Source organism: Homo sapiens, chromosome 21 (genome assembly GCF_000001405.40).
Source record: "Homo sapiens chromosome 21, GRCh38.p14 Primary Assembly".
Lineage (NCBI taxonomy): Eukaryota > Metazoa > Chordata > Mammalia > Primates > Hominidae > Homo > Homo sapiens.
Window position 1 is genome coordinate 40,086,158 of NC_000021.9, and position 16,358 is coordinate 40,102,515.

The following is a 16,358-nucleotide window of genomic DNA, read 5'->3' on the forward strand; positions in this document are numbered from 1 at the left end:
ACTAAACCTTGGGATCATTTTTAGATTCACTTAAAGTCACAATTATTCATGATTTTGACATGAAAAATGACATGTGATATCTCAAGAGGGTGATGAGTTTACCCTAGTATAAAAAGAACTGCGTGGCCATCATAACCACTGCTCCGGTGGCAGATTGTCCAGTCCTTTGGGGTCATTCCCACAACAGGCAGAATGCCAACTTGACCTTGGGAGCTACATATTTCATTTGGATGAACCAACTTTAAATGTATGAGAAAAGTGGTCACTAAACCAAACCATTATTTCTACAGTTTGGTCACTACACCAAGCCATTATTTCTACAGTTTATGCCTTCTAAGTGCTTTTGCTTGAAAATAGGCATTCTTCTGAATCCATTAGATCACATTTCTATGCTCATAAATGAATTTTCGACCCTTAACTTATATCCTAATTTCTTCTCCTGAATAGAGATATAGCACTTTAAAAAGTTATATGGACAGACCATATCTCACTCACTCTCTCCCTCTATCTTGGCTCCTATTATTTAAATAATTACTATGGAGTATGGAGAACCAGATTTTAAATTAGCAAAGTCCTAATGTACTCCATTTCTTAAAGTTCTTTCTCAGGGTATTTGAGTTATGGTTAGTTCACTATCTTTAAAGAAGAAGAGATAGGTGTTAAATCTCACAATAGCCTTGGCTGCATTCATCTCAGTTACATGGACAATTTACCTGAGAGGGTGCAGCAAACTTCCACAATAATTGAGTTGGTTCAACTACTTTCCTTGCAAGCATTCTCTCATGAACTAGAAGGCTCTGAATTAACAGAGGGTTGATACAATAAATCAGACCCTTTCAGTGCTAAAGCTGAGATTCCTTCTCTGCCCTCATCTCAGAAGAATTGGTAGGTTTCCTTGAGTTTTCACTAATATAAATAAACACAAAATTAGGAGACCACTAGACACAACCTGAGTATGTCAGATGTAATCTCTTAGAGTCTCACTGAAGGCATACATTGGGTTACTGGTTACCTGTCTTTCATCCATTTGACTGCAGGAGAAGGGTCCCCAACAGCCTTACAAGGCAAGACAATGTCTTTCATCCATGGAGTAGTCACTGTCCCACTGAAGGTCAGGATTCGTGCAGGAGCTGAGGAACCAAACAAAGTGGAATCCTGATTACTCCACAGACGTGTCTACACAGAGGCCAACATGACCTACTCAATAAGGGCAATACCTAAAAATGGATGTGAAGCCAATTCACATTACAACTGTCAACACTACTCTCTGGTACCCGGGTTATGAGGAATTGTCATTGTAAGAACACACAACTAGCAGAAAATTCCCATTGTAGCATTCTTTTCTTCTATTGACTAAACATGAGGAGTCCAAATTAAATATCTAGGGCTTCATAAGCCAAGCAGCTCCAAGCTGTGTTTTCTATGAGCCCAATTATTTCTCAAAGCACTTTAGGAAGCAATTTACCTCAACACAAAAACTGCTCATTAAAATATACTTTAATATCAGAGAAAGTAGACAATACAAAACACAAAGGCCCCAAAGACGGGAAGGAGTAAAACTGGAACAAGTTCTACTTAACAATTTCCCGACTGTATTATAGCAAGTTGATCTTTAGGACACACATTAAGGAGAATGAACATTTTCAGAGTGGCCTCTCTTGAAGAACAACCATTTGCTTGGAACAGTGATTCAGATGCCCAAACAGGAGCATCTGCCAGGGGCATCTGGTACTGGTGCAGCCCCAAGGTAGCAGAAGTCCCAGAAGACAGTCAGAAAAAGCCCAGGGTGAACTTGCCTTGAAGTCCAGTGTGGCCAGCAATGAGAGGTTCTAGTGCTACCTCCATCAGTGAGTCACAAAAGCTGACAGGGACACCACACACAAGTCTTCCAGAGGAAAACAATCTGCTCAGTCTTTGCCATACATTGGGACATTACTTTCTGGGGTGTAAACAGGAGCCCGGGGCTTCTCCTGTCCTTTGTTTTAGCCAGTATGCTTCAGACACTGTCATGGAGCTGGGGACATAGAGGAAACAGGTGCCCCTACAGGAGCTCACCCTCGATGGATGCACAGACCGGAAACCATAGGTGGAAGGCAGCCTTGAACTGATTCAGAGCCCATAAAAATGGGACAAATGTGAGACCCCTGCACCATTTCTGGGTTGAGGGTTTGCATTGGCAAAGGAAGATGAGGAGAAGGCTCCCCCAGGGAAGCTCTAGAATCCCTGGAAGGGCAGAGTACCCAGAGCCAAGTCATTATGCAGCCATCCTAGTATAGAATACCCACATTAGTCACTAGGATCTACCAGACCAAATCATACATTTTTGCCTCTGGGCACTGTGGGCAAGAGTAGAGAGAAAAAGAAAATGCCAGAGGGCTTAGAAGCTGGACCTTGTTTTTTGTTGCAGCAAAACCCATGTTTCAAGCAATTTCCCTGGACTGAGATGAAGTATTCTAAGGCAGGGCCCATTTCATCAGTCATTGACATTTCTGATTTTGCATCATGATAACAAAAAGGTCCTGATTAGGCAGCATCAGATTTCCTGCATTGGTAGCTTTTGGCATTTTCTTTTTCACACACTTCAGACAGTTCTTTAGAGAGTAGAGAATGTCCTCAGCAGTAAAAGGCGGGTGGCTAGAGAAATTCAGCTAGAGTTAGGGGCTTTCCAGCTTTATAACAGTCACCCACTTTAAGAAATATGTTTTACATCAAACTCCAGAAGCTACACATGCATTGGGATGTTGTGTATGTGCAAACAAAGTTGCATGAATAAAGACTTCACTGTATGTGATGCATTCTGATATTTTCTGTCTTTTTTAAACCCTAGTTTAGTCTAGTCTAGTTGATTTGACTCTGTTCCACTCTATTCCATTGTTGTTCTTTAACATTCTGGGCATAACCCCTCAAATTAACTCCAGGACTTATGAATGCTTTTCCATTAGCAATTTAAAAAATACAAGCTAGAGCTACTTCATCTTCAAGCCCAACAACCCCCATGCTATCGCTCAATGCCCATTTTGCCCATTTTAGACGGCTGAAATTTAAAGGGTCTCTAGCCAGAAATGTATGACTGGGCAACTCAACACACTAGACCTGGGGCAGCCAAGAGAATCCCCTAGAATCTTTGTTTAAAATGCAGGTTCCCACCACAGCCTTGTGGATTCAGCAGCTCTTTCCTGTACTTGGGGCATCTGCCTTTTGACAAGCATCCCAGGTGATTCTGATGAGAAACTGAACCCCTCTGCAACCTGGTGTCCCCTCTGATTCGGGTCCCGTTTGTTCTCAGCCATGGGGCCAGGCTCTCTGTGCCTTCGTGTCCTGGACCCCTTCCTAGGAGGGGCTTCCCCCAGGACCAGTGCCATGGCCCCATTCTGCCACTCCCTCCATAAAAGCAGTGGTCCTCCTCTTCTTCAACTGTATCTGAATTTTGGACCCTGCTACCTGTCGCTAGACTGCTGCTGGTCTGCCTTGACTTCCCAACAACTACAGAATAACCTGTCTCAATCTCCTCTGCTGTGGACATCCCCATCCCTCTAGGATGGGCCTTTCAGCCTTCATGGTTTGCCAGTGTCTGGGCTTCTGGGTGGGGGCTGCCCAACTGACTGTCTGCTCCATCCTGAGGCACTCCCTAGCTTATCCCCTTTCCAGAAAACCTACCTACAGCAATCCTAACCCTGAGTCAACCTCCCTTAAGCATGAAAAGTTGAACATTTCTGGAAAAAAAATCCACGCAATAGAGCATTTGGAGATTGACCACCATTTAGGATCATCAACCTCAATTGAACTGTCAGCACTCCCTGCTGGTCTTACTGTTTCTTTAGTAAATGTCCTCCCCATTCCCTGCAACGATGGCTTCCTGCTGTCCCTCCTCTTCTCACACTTCTGGGCTTCCCTCCACTATCCCCAAATTGCCTAATGCTTCAGAGACACCATCCAGGAACCCTGCATTTCCAGCCACCAAATCTGTGAACCTACTGGCATTTCCTCCTCTAAACCTCAGTGCTGTGGTCGTGGGCTCTTTCTTATGTATTGTTGATTTCTCGTTTCTCCCTCTCTACTGGGATCTTCCCGTTACCACATAAACATGCTCTGATGGCAGGCCTCATGAAAAATAATGAACCCAGAGCCTTTCCTCGAATGAGAGCCTCCCTCCCCCTCCCAGCTTCTTCTCTTGGTTGTCACTTCTTCCAGGTGATGTGTGTTGAAGGAATGTTCTGCCCAGTCAGCCTGCCCCTCACCTCCTACCCACTTTCTCACCTGACTCAGGCTCATTTCTGCATGCCCCTCCACACCCACTGATGCTGCTCACAGGAAGGTCACCACGATCTTCCGTGTGGCCACTGAGGGGCATTTTCGCCTGGTTTTGCCTGACTTTCCAGCAGCAGCAGCCTCACCTGACCACTCCCTCCTTTTGCAAGCATCTGTTTTGAATCCACAGCCTAACACCCTCCTGGCTCTGCTGCCTCTCTGGCTTTTCCCCTTTTCCTTTGCCTGCTCCCACTCCCTTTGAGAGTCCGTCCTGCACCTTCATCTCTCCTCCATCTCTCAGCCAATCTCATTCCCATCCCAGGTGTAAGCGATATCCAGACGCTGACCCGCCTGAATTTCTGCCTCCTGCCAGATGTCTCTTGAGAGCCAGGACATGCCTCAGTGCACAGATGCCTCTGAGTGAATGGCTCTTCGTCACCTTGGATTGAACCCCTCCAAATGTCTGTACCTCCTCTCACTGGCTTCAAAATCCACTTCTTCCATGGTCTTCTTCATCAAGAAATCGTGCCTCCACTTATGCTAACTCATGTGAGAATTTGGGTGTTCATTCTTGCTATCTCCTTCTCCACCCTCCTCCATTTCTGCCTCTCTGCAGTCCATTCAGGACAGAGAGACCAGGTGGTCTTAAAAAGCACACCCGCCATTAGTTGTAAGAAAGGCATTTAATTAGGATGTCTATAAAAAGGGAAACTAGGTGTGAGGTAAATGGCAACTCTCTGTACTATCATCACAATTTTTCTGTAAATCTAAAACTGTTCTAAAAAATAAGGTTTATCACACACACACACATGCACACAGAGAGAAAGAGAGATCATGTGCCTCCCTTGCTTAAAACCCTACACCATCTCCTTATTTCTCTTGCGGCAAAATCTGAAATCCCTAACACAGTGTTGAAAACCCAGCATGATCAGGTCCCTGTCTTCCTTCCCAGCGTCTCTGGGACCACTGTTCCTTCCCCGGCCCCAGCAGGGTCCAGTGTCCTGGACCTCCCACCTGCTAAATCTTTCTCTGCAGGAGCTTCTGACTGCTCACTTCTTCTCTCTTCACATAACCGCCTTTGCTTGTGCTCAGGGACCAAGTGTGTCCTCCATCTGACACTCCAGGTGAGGTCCTCTCACACTATTTCTTTATAGCACTTACTACAGTTTGTCTCTATGCATATACTTTTGTGATGCTTTGTTTACTGACTGTATTAGTCTGTTCTCATGCTGCTAATAAAGGCATGCCTGAGACTGGGTAATTTATAAAGGAAAGGGGTTTAATGGACTCACAGTGCCACATGGCTGGGGAGGCCTCACAATTATGGCAGAAGGTGAATGAGGAGCATAGGGCATGTATTACATGGCGGCAGGCAAGAGAGCATGTGTGGTGGAACTCCCCTTTACAAAACCATCAGATCTCGTGAGACTTACTCACTGTCATGAGAACAGCACAGGAAAGACCTGCTCCCATGACTCAATTACCTCCCACTGGGTCCGTCCCATGACACTTGGAAATTATGGGAGCTACAATCCAAGATGAGACTTGGGTGGGGACACAGACAAACCATATCACTGACTGGCTCCCCACCAAACTGTAAGCTTCAGGGGGTCAGGGAGTGAACACATCTCTTAAACCATCTCAAAAGACTCCTCTGGGCTCTCCAAACCCTGTTTTCTTTTCCCTGGTGGGTCCATGCCTTTATTCTAGACAATAGGATATTAGTAAAAATAATGTATACACTTCCGTATCTGGCTCATGAAAACCTCTCATCAAACCCTCCATACTCCCTTCTTCCCCCATCTATTTAGCTGTAAATGAGGAGAAATCCAGGGTTGTAAATCATAAGGTGGAAGGGGCCTGGATGCCTGAATCACCATGTGGAACAGGCCACCCAAGAGAGCCCTGACCAAAAATACCTCTGTTGGACTATATTATTATGTGAAGCCACTGAGATTTAGGGAACATTTATTTCAGCAGTCAGCCTCCCTTGACCAAATCCTCTGTGTCCCCAGCATAGACCCTGACATACAACAGGCACTCAAAATGACTTATTAAATGACTGGAGGACATTGAATTTCCCCAGGCAAGACCTGCTTCTGTGAGAGTTTTCAATTGTTCCCCCACTGAGTAAGTCATACCCCACTGCACTAGCCAGGCCTTTCTGGCTGTGTCTAGAGATAGAACTTTGAAAGCACAAAGGAAAGGAAGAAACATTATTGCTAATCCTATGTGTTTTGTTGCAGTGTTTTTTTGTTTGTTTGTTTTTGTTGTTTTTTTGGTAAATCCCACAGCTCAGTCCTTATGTCCAACATTTTCCTTGGTAATCATCATTTTCTCATTCTCAGGGAGTGGCTGGATATCATGACCAAAGAGTGTAATACATAAAGTAAGTCCCCCAGTTTATTTCCCTTACCAACTTACTTATTTTCTATCTGTATTTGAGCTCAAAATGTGACACCCCTCTTTTTTCCCCTCACTGCTTTATTCTGCCTATTTCTTAACTATCTCATTAAAAAGCACATTTTTCAGAGAATTCTTGGAGGTAAAATTGGAATCTTGGAATGTTCATTCTTGTCTTTCAGGCTATCAGAGAACATATTAGTAATAAGTTGCCACTGTTCTATAACTCAAAATTAGGGGCAACTCCTGCTGGCCTGGAATTGTGTCGTAAGGAAATTGACTTATTATGAATGCTAATTTAGGGGGTTCCTGGAAACACTGGATGGCCGTGATTACCAGAAGAGCAAGAATACCCCGTGCCTGCGTGTGCTTTTTAAGGACCAGTTTAACGTACAAATGTGAAGATATTATATTCACTTTAAGGAACTTTTTATTCTTTGGTGACTCCTACTTCCTGCTGTTACTTAAAGTCTTTGCTTATAGCATTCTGTCAACAGATAGTGAATGATTTTCAAATATTTTTAAGCTTGCAAATTCCATAGACTATAAAATAGACATTTCTCATTAAGAAGTGTGATACCTGATTTTGCTGAAAGTAGAACATCCTTGGGAAAATGCCGTGTAATGATTTTCAGCTACTCCAAGGAATGAATGAGGGCTCCTTTCCTAATTTTCATAGACACTTCCATTGTAAGGCCACTCATTCTCAGCTTTGTGTTTACCTCCAGGGAATTACTTTTCCATGGGACAGAAGCTCAGAGCTTGTTAGCCACAACCCTGTTTCTTGAGCTAAAATGTGATATTCTGGTTTATTTGATTTTTAGGAAAGTGTAAGTTTTATTTCAGGTAAAATAGAGACTTAAAAACAGTCAAGTTACAACAGGAAATGAGGTCCTTATAGCCACTGCCTACCTTTTGCTAGTGGCTCGACTGTGATGATTTCACTGCTGTTGCCTCTTCCGGCTGAAGTAACAGCCACCACCCAGACGCTGTACTGACGATTCCTACTCAGGTTGGGAATTCTGTAGGAAAACGAGTCGGGAGAGGCCTCAAACTCGCTGATCACCTGTAAAAAGAGACATAAGTGTTCCCACATTCAAAGAAGCATGTGGCAAAAATGGATTTCCCGAAGGAATGGTCATGAACATATTAAATATCATAACAAAAAAACTCAACTCACTCTCCTCTAAAAGGCTGGCTTTGCAATATAAAATGTAACTGGTAAGTTTAAGTGACCCACCATCTACATTTTTCTCTGCAGCAGCTTTGATGGCCACCAATAAATAATTTACCCCTTTACATTACAGGCCACAGCACTTCTGTATTTGGCTGAGATGGAGTAACAAGAACCAGATTTACCCTCCCACCTGAAACAACTGAGGAACACACACCATCCATAAAACAATGGTTCTAAAAGCATTGCACATCAGGTAATAAATGACAGTGATCTCTGAAAGATGGGAAACGAATGAAGAAAACCCCACAATCGCAGAGATTTTGCAATTTGTAGGGCAGTGTAAATTTTATTTCTGATAAAATAGAGAGCTCCACCTCCTCAACTCGGGAGGTTGGCAGCCTTTCCAAGCTAAGGAGGCAGAGCTGAGAGCCTGAAGGAAGCTAGAGTTCACAAGGAAGAGCACTGGAAAGAGAGCTACACACAAAGGACAAGCTCTGGAGATTGAAGAGGGTCCTACTTGGGTATTCAGCTGAGCAGATCCATGGATGCATGTGAGGAAACTACCCAAGGCCAGGGAAAGACACCTGAAAGAATTGGAGGTCACGGTGCCTAATGCTCACACAGGGATGGGAGTAGTGGCTGTTCTCACCAGTTGGGTTGGAAAACATCAAGATTCCTCGAGCATTGGGTATAGTGCATAAGGGTCTTACCACAAAGGGGAAATAATTAGCCCCAGGCTGAATACCACTCCAGTCTTTCCTAATTATTCTTAAAGGCAAGACTTAGAGAGAACAAATTATTCCTAAATAACTTAACTACATCCAAGAATAAAGGTCAAGAATATTTATAGAATTTATAGAAATTGAAGCATGTAGTACTCCAAAAGGTGAAGTTCACAAAGTTTAACACCTACTAAAATATTTCCACAAACAAATAGCCCAAATATGTGTCACCTGATGACTGGATAAACATAATATGTCACAGCGATACCATGGAGTCTGTATTAGTCCATTTTCATGCTGCTGATAAAGACATACCCGAGACTAGGTAATTTATAAATAAAAAGAGGTTTAATGGATTCACAGTTCCACATGGCTGGGGAGGCCTCACGATCACGGCAGAAGGTGAAAGGCATGTCTTACATGGTGGCAGGCAAGAAAGAATGAGGCCAAGCAAAAGGGGTTCCCCCTTGTAAAACCATTATATCTCAGGAGACTTATTCACTACGAGGAGAACAGTACAGAGGAAACTGCCCTCATGATTCAATTATCTCCCACCAGGTCTCTCCCACAACACATGGGAATTATGGGAGCTATATAATTAAAGATGAGATTTGGCTGGGGACATGGAGCCAAGCCATATCAGAGTGTTATGAGATAATAGAAAGGAATGAAGTACTGATAAATGCTATAACTTGGATAAATCTTGAAAACATTATGCTAAGTGAAAGGAGCCAATTATAAGAAACCACACATTTGTGATTCTCTTCATTTAAAATGTTCAGAATAGGCAGATCGATGGCAACATAGATTAGTGGTTGTCAGGGGCAGGGTAGGGGAAGGGGAAAATTGGGAATGACTGCTAATGGGCGTGCAGTTTCTTTTCAGGGTGATGAAAATGTTCTAAAATTAGATAGTGGTAAGGGTTGCATAACTCTGTGAATATACTAAGAGCCACTGAATTGTTGAAGTTAAAAGTGAATGACATCTCAATAAAGCTGTCATAAAAATTTCCAGGAAAACATAATTCATAAGAAGAAATCAATCAATCAAAATTCACCCATAATTGGCACAGACATTAGATTTATGCAAACAAGGGCAATAAAGTAGTTATAATTGTATTATAGCGGTATTATAACTGTATATGTTCAAAAATTTAAGTAGATATGATACAAAAAGACCTAAATTAAACTCAAAATGAAACTATAATGCATGAAATAAAAAATACATTGAACTTGATTAGCAGCAGCGTAGATATTGCAGAAAAACTGATTAGTGAACTTAAAGGTGTGGAAGGAAAATAAATATTGGGGCCCCCAAATCACTAAGCTAAAGGGAAAAGTCAAGCTGGGAACTGCTTAGGGCAAACCTGCCTCCCATTCTATTCAAAGTTATCCCTCTGCTCACTGAGATAGATGCATATCTGATGGCCTCCTTTAGAAGGCTAATCAGAAACTCAAAAGAATGTAACCATTTGTCTCTTATCTACCTAGGACCTAGAAGCCCCCTCCTCACGAGCCCCCTCCCCACTTTGAGTTGTCCCGCCTTTGCTTCAAGTTGTCCTGCCTTTTCAGATGGAACCAATGTTAAAAAATTGGTTGATGTCTCATGTCTCGCTAAAATGCATAAAACCAAGCTGTGCTCGGACCACCTTGAGCACATACTGTCAGGACCTCCTAAGGCTGTGTCATGGGCACGCATCCTCACTTTGGCAAAATAAACTGCCTAAATTGACTGAGACCTGTCTCAGATATTTGAGGTTCACAACACATATTAATAAATGATACATAGAAAAGAGAATAAAAAAGTTAACAGGGCATTAGTGAGCTATGGAAAAATATCAGGCTGCCTAACATGCACATAGTGGAGTTCCTAAAGGAGGGGAGAGAGACAGGACCAAAAAAAGGTTGTAAAAATAGTGGTTGAAAAATTTCCAAATTTGATGAAAACTGTAGCCCGCAGAGCCAAGATACTCAGTGAATTCTAGCCACAAGAATATTAAAAAAAAAAACTGTACCAAGGAGCATCATAATCAAACTACTCAAGAGTTTTAGTTTCAGTGCTAGAGAGAAAATCTTAAAAGTAGCCAGAGAAAGTAAATGTTGTGTAAAGGGGAACAAAGATAAGCATGGCAGCCAATTTCATTTGAAAAACAATCAAGGTAAGAAGACAGTGGAATGATTTCTTTCAAGTACTGAAAGAAAAAAATCAACCTAGAATTCTATATTCAACAAATATAATTCAAAATGAAAGTGAATAAAGACTTTTTTCAGATACATAAGAAGCTGAAAGAATTAATCACCAGTAGACCCACATTACAAGAAATGTTAAAGAAAGTCCTTCCAGCAGAAGGAAAATAATACCAGATAGACAGAGACATAAATGTACACAAATAAGTAGAAAAAGGAGGTAATTATACAGATACATATATATGGTATTTCTTATTTAAATATTATTAAAATATGGTTGATAGTTAAAAACAATACCAATGTAATGTGGGTATATAATATAAATAAAAGTAAAATGTTTAACAATAGCACAAATGTTGGGAGGAAAAAATGGAAGTATATGATTGTAAGTTTCTTATACTATATGCAAAGTGTGTAATACCGCTTGAAAGTACACTAAGATGTTAAAAGTATATGCTGTGAATTGTAAGGAAACTGCTGAAATTACAAAATATAGCATAAAATAAAGCTAATGAACTAATAAGATAAATAAAATGGAATTACAAAAAAAACCCCAAAGAAGTCAGAGAAAGACTGACAAGGGCAACAAGTAGCACAACAGCAGCAGAACTCAAATAGCAAATAGCACTACACAGAGTTAAACATAAACATAGTAATAATAATTTTAAGTATAAATGATCTAAATATATTAAAGGCAAAGATTGTCAGACCTGATATAAAAGCAATATCCGACTATATGCTGCTTACAAGAAATGTACTTGAAATAGGCCAGGTGCGGTGGCTCACGCCTGTAATCCCAGCACTGTGGGAGGCCGAGGCAGGTGGATCACGAGGTCAGGAGATTAAGACCATCCTAGCCAACGTGGTGAAACCCTGTCTCTACTAAAAACACAAAAAATTAGCCGGGCGTAGTGGTGGGTCCCTGTAGTCCCAGCTACTCTGGAGGCTGAGGCAGGAGAATGGCATGAACCCAGGAGGCGGAGCTTGCAGTGAGCCAAGATTGTGCCACTGCACTCCAGCCTGGGTGACAGAGTGAGACTCTGTCTCAAAAAAAAAAAAAAAAAGAAAGAAAGAAAGAAAGAAAGAAAGAAAGAAAGAAAGAAAGAAAGAAAGAAAGAAAGAAATGTACTTGAAATATAAAAACACAAATAGGTTAAAAATAAAGGAACTTAAGTGATATCCTATGATAACACTAATCAAAAAAATATGGAATGGCTATAGTAATATCAGACAAAATAGATTTAAAAGCAAAGGATATTACCAGTAATAAAGACAGAAATTTCATAACGATAATGGGGTCAGTTCATCAAGAGAACATAACAATTCTAAACATTTATTCACCTAATATTCACCTATTATTCAAAGATATGAAGCTTGGTTATTAGGTGAATAAACGTTTAGGATTTATTATTACATGAAACAAAACTAATGGAACTTCAAGGAGACATAGACCTAGATAGGTCAGAATTGTTCCTTAAAAAGCCATGTGAAGTAGGTGGAGCTGGATCCATTTTATAGATCAGGAAACTGAGGTTCAGAGAAAGTAAGTGATTCACTGATGTCACAAGACCAGACAACTGCAGAACAATGGCTCCAGCTCAGGGCCTCTGGTCCCAAGTCTGGTGCTATTTCCTCACACTTTATGCTGTCAATTAGAAGTGACCAAAACAAGAAGGACTTACTTTTACTCTTGTTAGCTTTTCAATAAACCTTACATGCCTCAGCAGGCTGCATAAGTTACAATACCAGTCATGCAATTAAACAGGGGATTTAAATCTTCACTATATCTCTTAATTGTCATACAACCTCATGCTTCCTCAACAAAACATAATGTCAGATAATTACTTATTGTCAAAACTTTAATTTGTGGGTACACAGTGTCAGATGATTTGGAGAGACTCTTGCATGGATTCCCTAGATACATCACTATAATCTAGCATGCACGTGCATGTGTATGCACTCATTTACACCTCACCTCCACCCCCCTCCCACTACAACACTCCAGTCACGTCTTAGAGTATTATGGGAAAATTAGTCCCTCTAGAAGTTCAGAGGGAATTTGGCCTGTTTCCTGATAAACCAAAGAGACAATCCTGAGACTGTATGTACTTGCATTGTGTGATTCTCCAAGGCTATGTCATTGCCAAATTAATTTTACAAAGCTTAATGATGTGCAAATTCTAACAATTACTCTTACTGAACATTAAGCATCAGGAAAGCATTAAGATATATTTATAAAATAAAGATCTTTTTCTGTGTAGACAACATAGCTTTTAGTTAAAACTCCATACTTATCCTGTTGACAAGGTAAAATTCGTTCTTGATTACCTCCAAAACACACACTTTAATTTTTGCCTGTAACATAATGCATGGCTAAAATCAACAATAAAATATGACTTTTTATGCAACAAGATTTGTTTCATCATTTATATAGAAGACTAATCAAGAATTGAAGTAAAAAAGGTATATTCATAGAAACTTCCTTAATTTCTCCGTAGGTTAGGATGAAAAATAATAACGTCAAGCTGTTAGTGGCTCCTATTGGTTATTTGGGTAAGTTAGTTACACTGATGTCACCACCCTTTGATGCCACTGTGTATTCCTCTGAGGACTGCCATAATTAGGCACAATTTTCCTGGTCTTAGTAGAAGGGCAAGCAGAAAGTTGATAACTGAACAATTTAAACCATCAGAGTTGATTTATTTTCTTTGGAATATATGTAACTGGATATTAAAGTTGACTCTTCCTGTTCTCTGGAAGTTTTAGCGATGATCTTAAAGCGTGAGAATGCTCCTAAAGATGCCAGTGCCTTCTTTCCTAACAAGAGCTGTGAGGCCACCTGGGCAGGACTTGCTGGTTCTCATGTTTTGCCAGTCATCCATTTCCAGGCTCCAAAAGAGGCTGGGGCAGGAATAAGGATTTTCTGTTGAGAGAGGTCTGTGAGTATTCCCTCTTATGGGTGGAAGAGGGCTTTGAGCTCTAGGGAATCTCTCGGAGAACTTGGAGTCTGAAGGACACAGAGCTTGGTAAGTGAGCCACACCTGAGAAGGCTAATGGCGAACCACAGTGGCAGAGGTTAGCCCTGCTCACAACAGGAGAGGAGGCTGGGCTGGACTGGCCACGCCTCCTAGAGTGAAGCAGGGTAAGGATGCCTACTGGTTGACCCTAGAGGACAGAGCAAGCCTGGATGTCTTGAGAGAGAGAACCATAGGCATGAAATGCCTCCAACAGAGGGATGCAGTGTAAATTATATAGTATTTATTGTAAACAGAATCATTAGCTATGGATGGTGCATAACTCAATCATTATTAACCATTTTAACAGTAGGTAGGAGAAAAAAGAAAAAAAGAGCAAAATGGGAAGAAAATAACCAGAAGTTCTCTCAGTGTAGTGGAGCCAATCTAGTTGATTAAATCCTTTTTAATGCTCAGCCAAAAATGCTTGTTCTGAAAAGAAGGGATGATAAATATCATCTCCTTTTGAAATATTTCCCTCCATATTTTATTAAGTTAGGATAGCATGGACTATATTTATATTTCATTAATTTTCTTTTTATTGGATACCAGATTTTCCAACACAACAATCCAATAGTGTGTAAACTGACTTGCTAATTTCTACATGCATATTTTATTACGTAGCACTCTCTTCCAAATATAGAGAATGTTCAATGAGAAGGGATCACTTTGATTTCCAGATTTCGCCTGATATATCAGCTGGGTTGCTATTTCAGAGACTCTGAATCTTTTTTTTTTTTTTTTTTAAAGAAACAAAGCAAAGCTTCGCTATCAAGGACAACAGATAAACACTGCGGTATAAAGAAGGGCAAACTCACAATGGAGTTTCTTAGGGATTAATGAACCAAATGTGGCAAAAGGAGAAATCTGTGGGGAAGCAACAGAGACACTTTTCTTAATATTTAAATATTTCATTTTCTTCAGGTAGACTTTGAACTCTCCAGTCTCATCTTCTTTAGAGTTAAGACAGACGTGTCAGTCATCCTAGATTTTGTTATGCCTAAAGTGTGAATTAATTTTGAGTGGACTACAGTAATTGTGCTAACCATTTGTTTGAAGAGAAGACATAAGAGTTCCTTTGTGACCTGTGGAAATACAGAAACAGCCAACATTACGAAGTTGCCGCCAGGCATGGACTTGAGGGATCCCATCCCCCATGTCCCTGAACCAGAATGCCAGGGATTCCCTTCCATGGCTTATTTTTAATCCTGCTCTGTCTATGCCCAGCTTGAGGAAGTGGATGGGACATTTGTGGACTGGGGTTGCCAATTATTTTGCATCTGTCATATATTCCTCTTGGCTAGCTGAGGAAAAAGCCTGTTATTTCTCATCTAAAATGTGTTTAAACATGTAGGCTCTATCCAAGTTGAGAAGCAAGCCAACATTTATTATTAATTAATCACTTCTCAATTGAAAGGCTCTAAGTGGCTGCCAAGTTACTGATTTCTTGGTCCACCAGATAACATGGTGGCATGAGAAGAACAGGGCTCTCTCTGGCTCAGCGGTCCCCAGCCTTTTTGGCATCAGGGACAGATTTCGTGGAAGACAGTTTTTTTTTTCACAGATGGATGGACGTGGTAGGATGGGATGGTCTTGGGATGAAACTGTTTCACCTCAGATCATCAGGCATTAGTTGGATTCCCATAAGAAGCATGCAGTATAGGTCCCTAGTATTAGTCCGTAGCCCGGGGGTTGGGGAATCCTGCTCTACCGATGTCATGTAACAGGGGCAATCCACAGTGTTCTTAGGGGAAGATTTGGGTATTTGGTCTGAGGACACACACATAAAATGTAAAATATGCATGTTGCTTATGTAATGAACCATCTCAAATACTATTCTTACAGTGGGCTGGTCATGGTTTTTACTGTGGGAGGTGGTGGGGGGGGGTCCAGGCAGACACTGCTGCCTTCAAAGTATGGAGGTCTGTGGATAAGGGATGTTGGCGAGAGTTATAGGACCCCATGAGCCAGACATAGAAGCTTGTTGGACTATCGTTCTCTCCTTTGGGCTGTGGGAAGAAAATCTAGGCAAAAGTTCTTAGCTTCATGCCTCGTAATAGGAAGGGCTTGTAAATAATTACTGAGTTTCAATTAATGGTCATTTACTGAGTTCAGTTGCAGTGTGTAGATTATAAGGCAAGTTCCTGCCCCCGGGGAGCAAGAAGTGACCACAGCTTGGCAAACAGATTAATTTAAAATGAGGCACCATAGAAGTCTGACCAATTCCTACTAAAATTTAGATATAAACTCGTTTGAACCTTTCTCTAAAACCAACCCTGTCATAGTTGAAGACATGGATGAATATTTATAAGATGCCTAAAAAATAAATGGAAACTTCATATATTTGTTTTAAAAAATATTTATAGCAAGGTTTTACAAGACTTCTGACATGTTTGCCTCCCCAAAGCCGTATCCAGAGTGGAAAATACAGTAAATGGGATAAATCTTGTGACACCCAAGCCAGAGCGTTCACATTTCAAGCGTTTTGTCTTTGTATGTTACTGCTTTAGGTCTGCTGGGTAGAGTCGTGGGTTCCTAAGGAACTAAATGTGCACAGTTTACTCTTCCAGTCAAAAGAGTGTAAGGGTTGTGAGGAAGTTAGTTTTCT

At 41.1% G+C, this 16,358-nt stretch overlaps 1 protein-coding gene across 4 annotated transcripts in view; it reads right to left on the reverse strand.

Annotated features, from left to right (window-relative positions):
* Positions 1-16,358, reverse strand: part of DSCAM (DS cell adhesion molecule) — an 836,160-nt gene that overhangs the window by 75,159 nt on the left and 744,643 nt on the right. For all 4 annotated transcript variants that reach the window (NR_073202.3, NM_001271534.3, NM_001389.5 and 1 more), the window contains 2 exons: positions 7,564-7,717; positions 1,013-1,130 (listed from right to left, as the gene is read on the reverse strand). Coding sequence is in view for 3 of the 4 variants with exons in the window: in NM_001271534.3 (NP_001258463.1) it covers positions 1,013-1,130; positions 7,564-7,717 (272 nt within the window). In the remaining variant the exon portion in view is untranslated. The remainder of the gene's footprint in view (positions 1-1,012; positions 1,131-7,563; positions 7,718-16,358) is intronic.